The 14,416-nt window shown below is 40.3% G+C and overlaps 1 pseudogene, besides 1 other annotated feature; it reads left to right on the forward strand.

Annotated features, from left to right (window-relative positions):
- HSP90AB3P (heat shock protein 90 alpha family class B member 3, pseudogene) lies at positions 443 to 2,983 on the forward strand (annotated as a pseudogene).
- Positions 725 to 1,924: an enhancer, noted in NCBI's record as "BRD4-independent group 4 enhancer chr4:88813182-88814381 (GRCh37/hg19 assembly coordinates)". NCBI's record gives its function as "activates an origin of replication core promoter dependent on BRD2, P300/CBP, MED14 and CDK7 cofactors, and independent of BRD4, by STARR-seq in HCT116 cells {active_cell/tissue: HCT116}" and the evidence as "EXISTENCE:reporter gene assay evidence [ECO:0000049][PMID:35650434]".

The following is a 14,416-nucleotide window of genomic DNA, read 5'->3' on the forward strand; positions in this document are numbered from 1 at the left end:
CAAAGTAATTTATAGATTTGATGCTATTCCCATCAAACTACCACTGACATTCTTCACAGAATTAGAAAAGAATTACTTTAAATTTCATTTGGAATCAAAGAAGGTCATGTATAGCCAAGACAATCCTAACCAAAAAGAACAAAGCTGGAGACATCATGCTACCTGACTTCAAACTATACTACAATAATGCAGTAACCAAAACAGTGTGGTACTGGCACCAAAACAGACAAAGACCAATAGAATGGAGCAGAGACATCAGAAATAATGCCACACATCTACAACCATCTGATCTTCAACAAACCTGACAAAAACAAGCAACAGGGAAAAGATCTCCTATTCAATAAATGATGCTGGGAAAACTGGCTAGGCATATGCAGAAAACTGAAACTGGACCCCTTCCTTACACCTTATACAAAAATTAACTCAAGATGGATTAAAGATGCTCTCAAGTCACTCCAGCACAGCGTTGGTGCTGCCTGGGTATCAGAAAGCAAGCTCACATTGCTCTCCAGTACGTGTAAGCCTTTTCTTTTCAAGATGCCTGAGGAAGTGCACCATGGAGAGGAGGAGGTGGAGACTTTTGCCTTTCAGGCAGAAATTGCCCAACTCATATCCCTCATCATCAATACCTTCTATTCCAACGAGGAGATTTTCCTTCAGGAGTTGATCTCTAATGCTTCTGATGCCTTGGACAAGATTCGCTATGAGAGCCTGACAGACCCTTCAAAGTTGGACAGTGGTAAAGAGCTGAAAATTGACATCATCCCCAACCCTCAGGAACGTACCCTGGCTTTGGTAGACACAGGCATTGGCATGACCAAAGCTGATCTCATAAATAATTTGAGAACCATTGCCAAGTCTGGTACTAAAGCATGCATGGAGGCTCTTCAGGCTGGTGCAGACATCTCCATGATTGGGCAGTTTGGTGTTGGCTTTTTTCTGCCTACCTGGTGGCAGAGAAACTGGTTGTGATCACAAAGCACAACGATGATGAACAGTATGCTTGGGAGTCTTCTGCTGGAGGTTCCTTCACTGTGCATGCTGATCATGGTGAGCCCATTGGCAGGGGTACCAAAGTGATCCTCCATCTTAAAGAAGATCAGACAGAGTACTTAGAAGAGAGGCGGGTCAAAGAAGTAGTGAAGAAGCATTCTCAGTTCATAGGCTATCCCATCACCCTTTATTTGGAGAAGGAACAAGACAAGGAAATTAGTGATGATGAGGCAGAAGAAGAGAAAGGTGAGAAAGAAGAGGAAGATAAAGATGACGAAGAAAAGCCCAAGATCAAAGATGTGGGTTCAGATGAGGAGGATGACAGCAGTAAGGATAAGAAGAAGAAAACTAAGAAGATCAAAGAGAAATACATTGACTAGGAAGAACTAAACAAGACCAAGCCTATTTGGACCAGAAACCATGATGACATCACCCAAGAGGAGTATGGAGAATTCTATAAGAGCCTCACCAGTGACTGGGAAGACCACTTGGCAGTCAAGCACTTTTCTGTAGAAGGTCAGTTGGAATTCAGGGCATTGCTATTCAGTCCTCGTCGGGCTCCCTTTGACCTTTTTGAGAACAAGAAGAAAAAGAACAACATCAAACTGTATGTCCGCCGTGTGTTCATCATGGACAGCTGTGATGAGTTGATACCAGAGTATCTCAATTTTATCCATGGTGTGGTTGACTCTGAGGATCTGCCCCTGAACATCTCCCGAGAAATGCTCCAGCAGAGCAAAATCTTGAAAGTCATTCGCAAAAACATTGTTAAGAAGTGCCTTGAGCTCTTCTCTGAGCTGGCAGAAGACAAGGAGATTATAAGAAATTCTATGAGGCATTTTCTAAAAATCTCAAGCTTGGAATCCACGAAGACTCCACTAACCGCCACCGCCTGTCTGAGCTGCTGCGCTGTCACACCTCCCAGTCTGGAGATGAGATGACATCTCTGTCGTAGTATGTTTCTCACATGAAGGAGACACAGAAGTCCACCTATTACATCACTGGTGAGAGCAAAGAGCAGGTGGCCAACTCTGCTTTTGTGGAGCGAGTGCGGAAACAGGGCTTCGAGGTGGTATATATGACTGAGCCCATTGACGAGTACTGTGTGCAGCAGCTCAAGGAGTTTGATGGGAAAAGCCTGGTCTCAGTTACCAAGGAGGGTCTGGAGCTACCTGAGGATGAGGAGGAGAAGAAGAAGATGGAAGAAAGCAAGGAAAAGTTTGAGAACCTCTGCAAGCTCATGAAAGAAATCTTAGATAAGAAGGTTGAGAAGGTGACAATCTCCAATAGACTTGTGTCTTCACCCTGCTGCATTGTGACCAGCACCTACGGCTGGACAGCCAATATGGAGCAGATCATGAAAGCCCAGGCACTTCGGGACAACTCCACCATGGGCTATATGATGGCCAAAAAGCACCTGGAGATCAACCCCGACCACCCCATCATGGAGACGCTGCGGCAGAAGGCTGAGGCCGACAAGAATGATAAGGCAGTTAAGGACCTGGTGGTGCTGCTGTTTGAAACCGCCCTGCTATCTTCGGGCTTTTCCCTTGAGGATCCCCAGACCCACTCCAACCACATCTACCACATGATCAAGCTAGGTCTAGGTACTGATGAAGATGAAGTGGCAGCAGAGGAACCCAGTGATGCAGTTCCTGATGAGATCCCCCCTCTTGAGGGTGATGAGGATGCGTCTCGCATGGAAGAAGTCGATTAGGAGTTCATAGTTGGAAAACTTGTGCCCTTGTATAGTGTCCCCATGGCTCCCACTGCAGCCTCGAGTGCCCCTGTCCCACCTGGCTGCTGGTGTCTAGTGTTTTTTTCCCTCTCCTGTCCTTGTGTTGAAGGCAGGAAACCAAGGGTGTCAAGCCCCATTCCCTCTCTACTCTTGACAGCAGGATTGGATGTTGTGTATTGTGGTTTATTTTATTTTCTTCATTTTGTTCTGAAATTAAAGAATGTAAAATAAAGAATATGCCGTTTTTATACAAAAAAAAAAAAAAAAAGATGGATTAAAGACTTAAATGTAAAACCCAAAACCATAAAAACCCTAGAAGAAAACCTAGGCAATACCATTCAGGACATAGGCATGGGCAAGGATTTCATGTCTAAAACACCAAAAGCAATGGCAACAAAAGCCAAAATTGACAAATGTATCTAATTAAACTGAAGAGCTTCTGCACAGCAAAAGAAACTATCATCAGAGTAAACAGGCAACCTACAGAATGGGAGAAAATTTTTGCAATCTACCCATCTGACAAAGGTCTAATATCCAAAATTTACAAGAAACTTAAACAAATTTACAAGAAAAAACAAACAACTGCATCAAAAAGTGGCCAAAGGTTATGAATAGACACTTCTCAAAAGAAGACATTCACATGGCCAACAAGCATATGAAAAAAAGCTCAACATCACTGATCATTAGAGAAATGCAGATCAAAACCGCAATGAGATACCATCTCATGCCAGTCAGAATGGCAATTATTAAAAAGTCAAGAAACAATAGATGCTGGCAAGGCTGTGGAGAAATAGGAACGCTTTTACACTGTTGGTGGGAATGTAAATTAGTTCAACCATTGTGGAAGACAGTATGGAGATTCCTCAAGTATCTAGAACCAGAAATACCATTTGACCCAGCAATCCCATCACTGGGTATATACCCAAAGGAATATAAATCATTCTACTATTAAGACACGTGCACACATATGTTTATTGCAGCGCTATTTACAATAGCAAAAACATGGAACCAACCAAAATGCCCATCAATAATAGACTGGATAAAGAAAATGTTGTACATATACACCATGGAATACTATGCAGCCATAAAAAGGAATGAGATCATGCCCTTTGCAGGGACATGGACAAAGCTGGAAGCCATCATCCTCAGCAAATTAACACAGGAACAGAAAACCAAACACCACACATTCTCACTCATAAGTGGGAGTTGAACAATGAGAACACATGGACACAGGGAGGGGAACAACACATACCAGGGCCTGTGGGGGCTGGGGGGCAAGGGGAGGGAACTTAGACGATGGATGGGTCAATAGGCGCAGCAAACTATCATGGCACATGTATACCTACGTAACAAACCTGCACATTCTGCACATGTATCCCAGAACTTAAAGTAAAATAAAAAAAAATAATAAATATATAAATAAAAATAAATATTAATGTTATTCCATAGTATTGTTACCTCCAAAAGGCTTTGATTTTGTGAAGGGATTTTTTAAAGTAGAACTATTCATAATTTCATATACAGCAAGTCAATATATATCCACTGCATTGCCATATTCCCAATACTCACCAAGATAAATGCAAACCTCAAAGTTTACCATTTACTCATTATCATATTAGACATTCAGATGGTAATCCAAGTAGCAGTTTACTCAGATTAAACACACTAAGCAAGTCAAGATAAGAATATCAAGATTAAATTATTATTTAGAATTATTTTTAAAGGGCTTATTTTTTCCTATTAAACCATTCTAAAATTAACACATTTTCACTTTCCCCGAGCATCCAGACAATTCTCAGGCTATTAAGTTCTTTTTTCCTGAAGTATTTTTCTGTCCTGAGCTCAATCCTATGCCCTATTCTTAAGTCTGTAATGGTTTCCAGTCACCTATTAAACTACTTAGAAAATCTTTCATCTGACATTCAAAGTCAACCATGATCTTATTCAAAATGAATTTTTCTGCCTTAATCGCTCTCCCTGATATGTGTTCTACCCTATACCAACTATTCTCCAAAAACACTCATTGGCTGTCTTTACTCGTAGGATTCTCTGTCTGGCTTATACCAGCTTGTTTAGAAAAGCATGTATTCATTTCAGAACCATAAATTTCCATATACATAATTCTGTGAGAAAATCAGCTTGCTTTCCAGTTACACATTCATAAGCATTCATACGGTCTAATTACTACAAACCCTTTGTATGCTCTGCATATAAATCACCAATTAGCTTCCAGTTTAAAAAAGTTAGTCCCTTGTGATTTTATGTGAAAATGGGTGACTCACAGCGACCTGCCTGATTTTCATTCATAAGAAACAGTGGCATTGGTGTAGGAGAATGAAAACAGGGAAGGAATGTTGAAATTCTGAGAGGAAGAGGGCCACCCTCCGCTGTGTGAGGCAACTTACACTTCACACCCAGGGGAAGTTGACTCATTTCCTCCCCTCTCCTCAATTACCTCTGAAGCCTTCTCCTCTTTCTTCACCTCTCGCTGAAGCCGCCACTCTTGCCACTGATTCAGTGAATCACAGAGAGGTCACCCAACCAACCAGGAAAAAAATCTGGGTTAGAGTAGGAGACGAAGAAATATGTTCTCTTTTCTCAATTAGAGAAAAATAAAAGGAAACTCTCCAGTGGGAAGTTTCTACAATTATTAATAGAATTGATGGAACTATACAGTAATTTTTTAAAAAATCTTCTTATTCAGGTGTATGTACACGATGCACTGTATGGTGTACAAATCATAATATGCAACTCACTGAATTTTTACATATCTATGTAGGTATACATTTATCTATGTATGTGTGTTGTGTGTATGAAAACCATGTAATCCCACCACCATCAAAAGATACAACACATCCAACATCCAGAACACTCATGTTCCTTCCCTGTCAATATGCACCATCTGTCCTCACAGAGGTAATTGTTCTGCCTTCTCTAGCCATACATTTGTTTCCCCTGAAACAAATCTTGTTTCTTGACCTTCTCGTCATTGGACTGTAGCACCTACTTTTTTTGTGTCTGGCTTCTTTCCCTCAGTCTTATATTTGTGGAACTCATTCCTATTGTTGTATATAGCAGCAGTTTGTTCTTTTTTGTCACTATATGATTTTTCTATTCTCTGGGTTTTATGAAAAAAGCTGCTATTATGAATGAGATACCATAAACATTCTTGCATGTCTTCTGGTGGATTTACAAAAACTGTGCAATAACCTTTTACCTAATCTTTCTACTTCTGCTTCTCTGCTTCCACCTGGCTTTCGCACCACCATCCCAGGAATCTCCCTCAGTCGGCTGGAACCCCGGTCCTGCACAGAGCTCAACGGGTCCCTCACTGTCAGTGGAGCGCATTATGACTCCAAATGAGACTTTCAAGACCCTACATGACTTGGCCACATCCCACCTCTCCAGGCTTATATCTTGTCTAATTTCAACATTTATCACCCTCCACAGTCTCCAGTCAAAATACATAGCTCACAATTCTCCACACATGCCCCAAATATTTGTTTGTGAACATACCAATCCCTCCCTACCCAGAAAGTATTTTCCCACCAATTATAAATATGTGAATTTCAAAAAAAGTGTTTACCTCAGATAATTTTAAAGACATGTTCCTGACATGACTTTAAGGAAAGGTTATTAAAAAAAATATAAATGACTTAAATGGAATTTTCCACTCAATTTGGAAGAAACTAGCACCATATACCTAGGACAATTTTGCTCATAGGTTAAGCTTAGGGGCTTTGAGGAATGCTGGCTCTCCTACTTCCTAGCTATGTGACTTTGGTTAGAATATTTCACTTTTTTAGCCTTAGTTTTCTCATCTGAAAAATTGAAGCAGAAACCTCCCTCACAAGATAGTTACAAAGAACAGATAAAATATTGCATACAAACTACTTAAAACAGTGACATGCATAAAATAAACATACCATAAATAGCATGTATCATTATTAACAAAGAAGTGATGCATCTTAGAGGCTAAGAGTAAAAACCTGGGGACCAGATATCCTGGATTCAAATCCCAGTTCCTAGCTTACTAGCTTCCACTTACTAGCTGGATGACTTGGGCACATTGCTAACCAATCTGTGCCACAGTTTCCTCGCCTATAAATGGTGGCTAAAATAGTACCTTCTTCAGAGAGAGTCACAAGGAATAAAAGAATTAACCTATACAAAGCAATGGATCTGACAAAGTGAGGGAAACATAATTCTCAGCTACTTATAGCACTGCTATTATTGTATATCAACAACTACTATTACCAGTATGTTTAAGAGAATACTATCATTCTTGTAGATTTGAAGTTTTGATAGACAAAGAAAAGACTCAAGGTTATTAACCTAGAGATCTTTCATTGATACATTATTCCAAATAAGAGAGAAAACTCTATAAAGGCAGAATGGTGGACCCAGAGGTACTATTACTGTGGTAGGATCAGTAACACATGACAACAGTGTCACAGACTCACACGACAGAGCTACCAACATCCAAGGTGAATTCATATTGTGAAACGGGCATCTTTGAGCATCCTTGTTTTTCACTGACTAGAAGGGTTCTCCACTGGGCAATGGACAGAAGGTAGCGCTTAGTAATTCACACTGACACCATCTGTGCGTCCTAAGACCCCTTATCAACTTCATCTTTAGGACCTGATCACCTAAGGAAAGCAGGGCTCCCTAACACTAGCTTCTAAGCTGTACTAGGGTAATCCATACTTTCCGAAGACAAGTAACAAGTTATAAAAAGAATAAGAGAGTAAGGCTGGAGTTCAGTGTCTATGGTTAATAAAATGATTCCTTATTTTATTATTTTATTTCTATTTCACAGATAAATAAACTGAAGCAAGATAAAGTTAAGTAAGTTGTCTATGGCCAAATAACTCAGAAGAAGCAAAAGACAGGCTATAAACACACAAACTTGAATCCATAGCCTAAGCAATTCCCACACAAAGAGCAAACCTTTTCCTTTTTTTGGTTGGTGGGGATTTCTTACTAGTAACTTCCAACAGATAAAACCCAGTGGAAAAATAAGTTCAGATAAAGAAATTCCTCATATCATTTTAGAGTCCAGTAAAACTAAAAGGTGGGCCAGGTACAATGGCTCGTGCCTGCAATCCCAGCACTTTGGGAGGCCGAAGCAGGTGGATTGCTTGAGCCCAGGAGTTTCAGACCAGCCTGGGCAACATGACGAAACCCTGTCTCTACAAAAAATACAAAAATTAGCCAAATGTGGTGGCATGTGCCTGTATTCCCAGCTACTTGGGAGGCTGAGGTGAGAGGATTGCTTGAGCCCATGAGATTGTGGCTGCAGTGAGCTGAGGTCACGCCACTGCACTCCAGCCTGAGCAACAGAGTGAGACCCTGTCTCAAAACCAAAAATATAAATAAATAAATAAATAAATAAAGGGGATCAGCTACCTCAGGAGCTGTGCTTTCTGTGGACCTCTCTGAGGTACATTTTGTTGACCAATAAGAAATGGAGAGTGAGGGGTCGGGTGTGGTGGCTCATGCCTGTAATCCCAGCATTTTGGGAGGCTGAGGCGGGTAGACCACGAGGTCAGGAGATCGAGACCATCCTGGCTTATACGGTGAAACCCCATCTCTACTAAAAATACAAAAAATTAGCCTGGCGTGGTGGCGGGTGCCTGTGGTCCCAGCTACTTGGGAGGCTGAGGCAGGAGAATGGCATGAAGCCAGGAGGCGGAGCTTGCTGTGAGCCCAGATAGAGCCACTGCACTCCAGCCTGGGCAACAGAGCGAGACTCCATCTCAAAAAAAAAAGAAAAAAAAAAGAAATGGAGAGTGACGGAGAGGGTACAGGAGCAACTTTTGCCCTGATTTCCATGGAGGCTTAATTTTCTGACAAGAAGAAACAGAATGGACATGTTTAAGCGTAGAGGCTTTGGGGATCACTGAAGTCTGTAGGTAATTTGCAGGTAGTTTTATGATTCTGCTGTCACAAATGTGTCTGTAGAATGCTTCGAGGTTCCATCACTCCCCTCCGTTCCCCTACTTTACCCAATTTTTTACTTCTCCTGAATCATTTTCATTAACATATTCAAAAATTCTGAGTTGAGTTGCTGAAGAGAAAATGTTTGAAACATCTCATTTTGCAGAAAGACAACACTTGTATTTTACTTTAGGGTTGGACGCTTTCTCAATAAGCCCTGCTAAGACTTACAAATGTTAAAATAATACTTCCATTTTAAACTTCTAAGGCACAATATTTATTCATAACCTCAATCATCACTTGAAGCATTAATCCATTTAATGGATACCATGTTAAAAATTAGAAAGAGCTCACGATTGTCTCATTGGAAACACTAATACTGACAGAAAAGTGGAAAGACAACTAAACAGAAAAACCACGAACTACTTCCAAAGTGGTATTGTGTTCAAGAAAAGTGGAGAGAGCGTTTTGCGTAGTGGTGAGTGAAGCCAGTTAAGGGCAAGCTTATTTCAATCAGTCACCTGTCGGTGGAGATGGCCTCATTACCATCTCTCCTTTGGTAGGAAGTGCTTCATGGAGGGAAGTAGGGTTTAGGGAAGGAAAGGAGGAGATAGAAGAATCTATTCAAGGGATAGAAGTGTTACCTAGAAATAAAGCTTCAAAAAATAGGGGACAAGTATTATTTTGTAGAAAGGGAACTCTAAGATTGCTTCAGAAGACAAATAAGTTGGACCCACTTTAGTGAGTACATCGCCTCTCTATGGGATCTCATTCCTCCTGTGTTCATGGCTCTTAGTTCAGGGCATTAGCCCTTTTAAGATATGGGCATTTTCTCAGTCAGTTAATTCACTTTCATTGTCCATTGTTCCATAATTCATTCCTGAATTATGAGACTACTCTGTGTTTAATATCAAAGGCGACTATTTCAGGGTATATTAAAATATCTGCCCAGGATTATCATTTTCTGTATACATGTAGTCAACACCTGCTGTATTATTTTCTATTATTAAATTCAGTTTTCTGCACTGAATCACTCTCTCCACAACAATTTCAAGTTCATTGAAGCCAAAGAACAACAATTGTGCTTCTTTGTTTAATCTCCATAGTACCTGCTCTATGCACATAACACACAATGCATCTTGGTAGAATAGATTTACTTCCTTCAATGTTTATTTCCTCCGATGGAAACCGTAATGTTTTCCATTCCAATTTATAAATGTTGCTGTGTTTCATATTTCAAGTGATTGCTCTGAAGAACAGACTAAACCAAAATGCATGAATTTAACAAGAGAGGGAGTTCAGGACATAAAAATAAAACCATCCTTCTTGCTTTTAGTTCACATATCAAATCTTGTGATTGTGTAATTAGGGCATATGTAGTATGGAAAATACCACAAGTTCCTTTTGCAAAGATACTTTTTCCCACTGAGGAAAGAAGATATGTAGAATAATTCCAAAACAGAGAAATTGAAATCTACTAGAATTGGGTATTCATTATTGCAAAATGTTCACTATCTCTTCAGAATGTTCTGCTGTATAGAGATTACCAGAAAGTATAGACTCTGAGCTATAAATATCCTCAAAAAACCATGGAGCATCTGCTTTTAATTTTTGCCTGGGTGGCTTATACATCAGACAGGAAAACATGCCTGGTTTTAGGAGGTTTGAACAGATGCCATGGAGTAAGTGCCCATTTCCCAGAGTTTGTTGTCATTTTGGTTAGTGAACTCCACCTACCAAAACAAAAATGATCCCTGTGTCTCAGAGGCTCCCCTTTAAAGAAATAGAAAGAAGAGCAACGCTTTTTCCCAGCTCTTCCATGCAGATATGTATAAGCCAATGATTCATAAAACACTTTCAACACTTTGTTTGTGCATACTATACAGTCTTAATTTTGGTATTAATTAAACCTTATTTTTGTTGTCTCCTTGCCCTGTATAGATGACTGTTGCATTCTAGATCTTTGTCTGTTTTGTGTTTAACTTTCACACAATACCCATTAAGCTGATAAATATTCCATTCGATCATTTTTATGAGTAAATGTAATGTCTTAACAGCTTGAGGTTTAGTTGAATCTTAAATCTGGGTAGCAGTTATCACTGTGTAAGAAAAATTGGGTCAAATTAGAAATTTGCAGAGCTTCTCCTGGTCTTTTCACCTTCCAATTCTGCCTGATGTATTATGTCTTCCCACATTTACACTTTGTGCATGCAGTGTCAAGACACCAGGTTGTTGAACCAAGGGATTCTCTCTTTTCCTCATGAGGAAAATGAACTTCCCAAAATGAGCTTGCTGAAAGTCCCAAATCTCATGAAGTAAAATCTTTCATGATTGATTCTCTGCAGGTATCAAATTTGTTTTCTTGTTGAAAAGCAGGTTAACCAATAATTAGGTGCAACAATTTCTCAACATGGAGCTTATGTGGAAGAAATCTTTCTAAAAAATAACTGTGGTTTATGTTTCCTGTCTGAGGTATGCCTTACATTAACCACACAAAATATTTAGCTTTTCCTAGCTCAGATCTTGAATAGCTCTCCCAAGATTTTGACCCTTATCAACTCCTTATTACCAAAGAACATTCTTTTATCTTGGGCTCTGGGATGGTATTTTATTTGTTGATTAACTATAGTTGGCTAGTATTGACTGAAGACTTATTATATAATGTGTTGAGTAGGTTTAGATGGGCAGAGAATACAAAAGGTGCACAATAATCCCATTCCTCAGAAATCGCTGTCATATGGTTGATTAGCAAGACAAAACTGACACCCATGGCACAACTCTAGGATGAGTAGAATTGATGAAAAAATCGAAATCTTCCATAGGAGTTCAGAGAACCTATTAATGTGAACTGGAGCAGTCAACATGAGTCTTGGGAGAGTTTAGACTTGATCTGGACCTTAAAGTATGGAGAGATTTGAGTGGGTAAAAGGCAGTCAAAAGATATTTGCTTCAGATGTGAAAGTAAAGACCAAAAAAAGATGTTGTTTCTGAGAAACAGTGAGAGACAGGGCTGAAGAGATGAGGGCTTGCTTTTTCAGGTTCCTGAGAACTGTCCATATGAAAGCTCTTTTGTTGCCTATTTTAACCTTTTGACTCTTGCTGAAGGACCCCCAAATTTTTTCACTAGGGCACGAAACTAGGACCCTTAATAGCCTGCATGAAAAAGTAAAGTCTAGAGAATTTAAGTTCCCTAGTTACTAAAGAAAATAATATATTTTGGAAATGTGTTAGTGCCTTGGCTCCTTATCTAATCTTTCAGGTATACAGTTTTTTTGTTGCTGTCGTTTTTTGTTGTTGTTTGTTTTTGTTTTTGTTTTTTTTTTGAGGCAGAGTCTTGCTCTGTCGCCCCCTCAGGCTGGAGTGCACTGGTGCGATCTCAGTTCACTGCAACCTCTGCTTCCTGGGTTCAAGCGATTCTACTGCCTCAGCCTCCTGAGTAGCTGGGACTAGAGGGGTGTGCCACCACACTCGGCTAATTTTTGTATTTTTAGTAGGGACAGGGTTTTGCCATGTTAGCCAGGCTGGTCTCGAACTCCTGGCCTCAAGTGATCCACCTGCCTCAGCCTCCCACGGTGCTGGGATTACAGGCATGAACCACCACGCCTGGCCTCAAGGTATACTACATATTTAAAAAAACAAAGCTCCATCTGCATCATTAGTGATGACTATCAACCTCTATTTCAGATATGAAGAACAATAGCACAGATGTAGGAGATATGGCTATAAAGTCACAGAAGTGATTCTTCTCTGAAATACAGCAAAATGTCTAGCTTTCAATGGTGTTGACACCTTCAAAGTAGAATCCTTGAAAGGCTATGTGATTATTCCAATGATGCATCCATTCTTCAAGTCAGTTTCAGGATCCTTTTTTAAAAACTGCTCTGGGAAACCACAGCAGAGCTCTTAGAGTATCTTCCCTAGAGGCAAATCTTCCATCCTCGCCTCCTGATCTCTGCGTCGACACCTGCCTGCCTTGCATGCAGACTCTCCCCAGCCTAAATTGAGGCATCTTCCTTTATTGTGTCCCTGCCTCTCCTCTGCCCTTGTCTTATCTTTCGCTTTTGTCCCTACCCCTGCAATCAGACAATGCAAGACAAGGCAGAGGACATGAGGCTTGAATCTGAGGAGACAAACTAAATTATGAGGCAAGAAGTCGACAATGCAGTGAAATAGAGAGAGGTCAGAGATGCAGGAGAATTAAAAGGATATCATATAAACAACAATCACAGCCAAAAATACTGTGAGGATGGGGTAGCTAGGACATTGTAGGAAATAGAAAGAACATATCGAGTCACAATGGGAGCTCAGCACAGACACTAGAATTTGTAAGCTAAAATTACAAACTAAACACAATAACAATTATTGGTATGTCCATTGACTTCCAGTTTATCAGGCCAATTTCTATTCACTTTCCCTAAAGTCAGCTTATCTCTGCAAAACTGTTTTCTAATCTTTTGGGATGCAGAATTGGAGAACAAACAGAATACTGCAGAACCCAAGAGGCAAGAGGAATGGAAGGGCCTAGCAGGAGAGGGGGAATTGCAGTTGGCAAATGAGAATCTATAATTCGTGTCAAAGAGTATAAGGTGTGAAAGAACAGGGATCCCAGAAATATTCCAGAAGGGCCATAAGTATTCACTTTAATGCATTGCAAATTATACAATGAACATATTAACTTTTCAAATATGTTCGGTTAAGAACTGTGCTCCTTGGACAGCACACCAAACTGAGACTGGACTACACACGACAGCTTCAGTGAGGTTACATGATCAGATGCAACTGCTACATTGCTCTAGGCCTGTAGGCTATGAGGTACTCCCATATGCTTTCCCACAGGACAGGAATGCAAGTGGTGCTGTTGCTGGCCAGGCATGGAAAGGAGCACTCAGTCCATTTTCCAGTCTACGAGAGCAGACTGCTGACCGCCAGTGCGCAAAACAATCAATCCCCCAGATGCCTTGAGCATTTTGAAGTCTATGGAAATCCCAGGGCAACCCTAGAGCTAGAGACTACAGTATCAATGGCATGAGGCATGTTTTCTCTTGTGAGCTCACCTCGACCTCAAAGGAAGAAACACACACACACATATGCCTGCTTTTCTAAGACTCTCATTATGTTTATCCCAAACCACCTCTTCTGTTCATAGGAAAAGAAGGGAATGTATTTGTTGTATGTTGCAGGCCTGGAGATGAAGAGCACCCTTAGACTTTCACTAGAGCACATTTTTCTCATTTTGTTCCTGAGTTTCACATCATCTGTCATGAACAAGAGTTATAACCATATAGCAATAAGATTTTATCTTACTAATACATCATGATATAGAAGTATAAGTAAATGTTTTATTTCCAGAGGATAACCATGGGTGATTTTACCTTTAATCTCAATATGTTGATCCTGCCTGTTTCTGAAACAACTTTTGGAAGTAACATTCAGAGCTATTACATGAGCATACCAGAAAGTGTCATTTTATAGTGACACCTCATTAGTTATATTTGGTTATAGTGACACCTCATTAGTTATATTTGGTTACAGTGACTTTTAGCCCTTTTTTTTTTTTTTTCCCGAGACAGAATCTCATGCTGTTGCCCAGACTGGAGTGCAATGATGCCATCTCAGCTAACTGCAACCTCTGCCTCCCGGGTTCAAGCGATTCTCATGCCTCAGCCTCTCAAGTAGCTGAGATTGCAAGCATGCACCACCATGCTCAGCTAATTTTTGTATTTTTAGTAGAGACAGGGTTTC

The sequence above is a fragment of the Homo sapiens genome, chromosome 4 (assembly GCF_000001405.40).
Source record: "Homo sapiens chromosome 4, GRCh38.p14 Primary Assembly".
Taxonomy (NCBI): domain Eukaryota; kingdom Metazoa; phylum Chordata; class Mammalia; order Primates; family Hominidae; genus Homo; species Homo sapiens.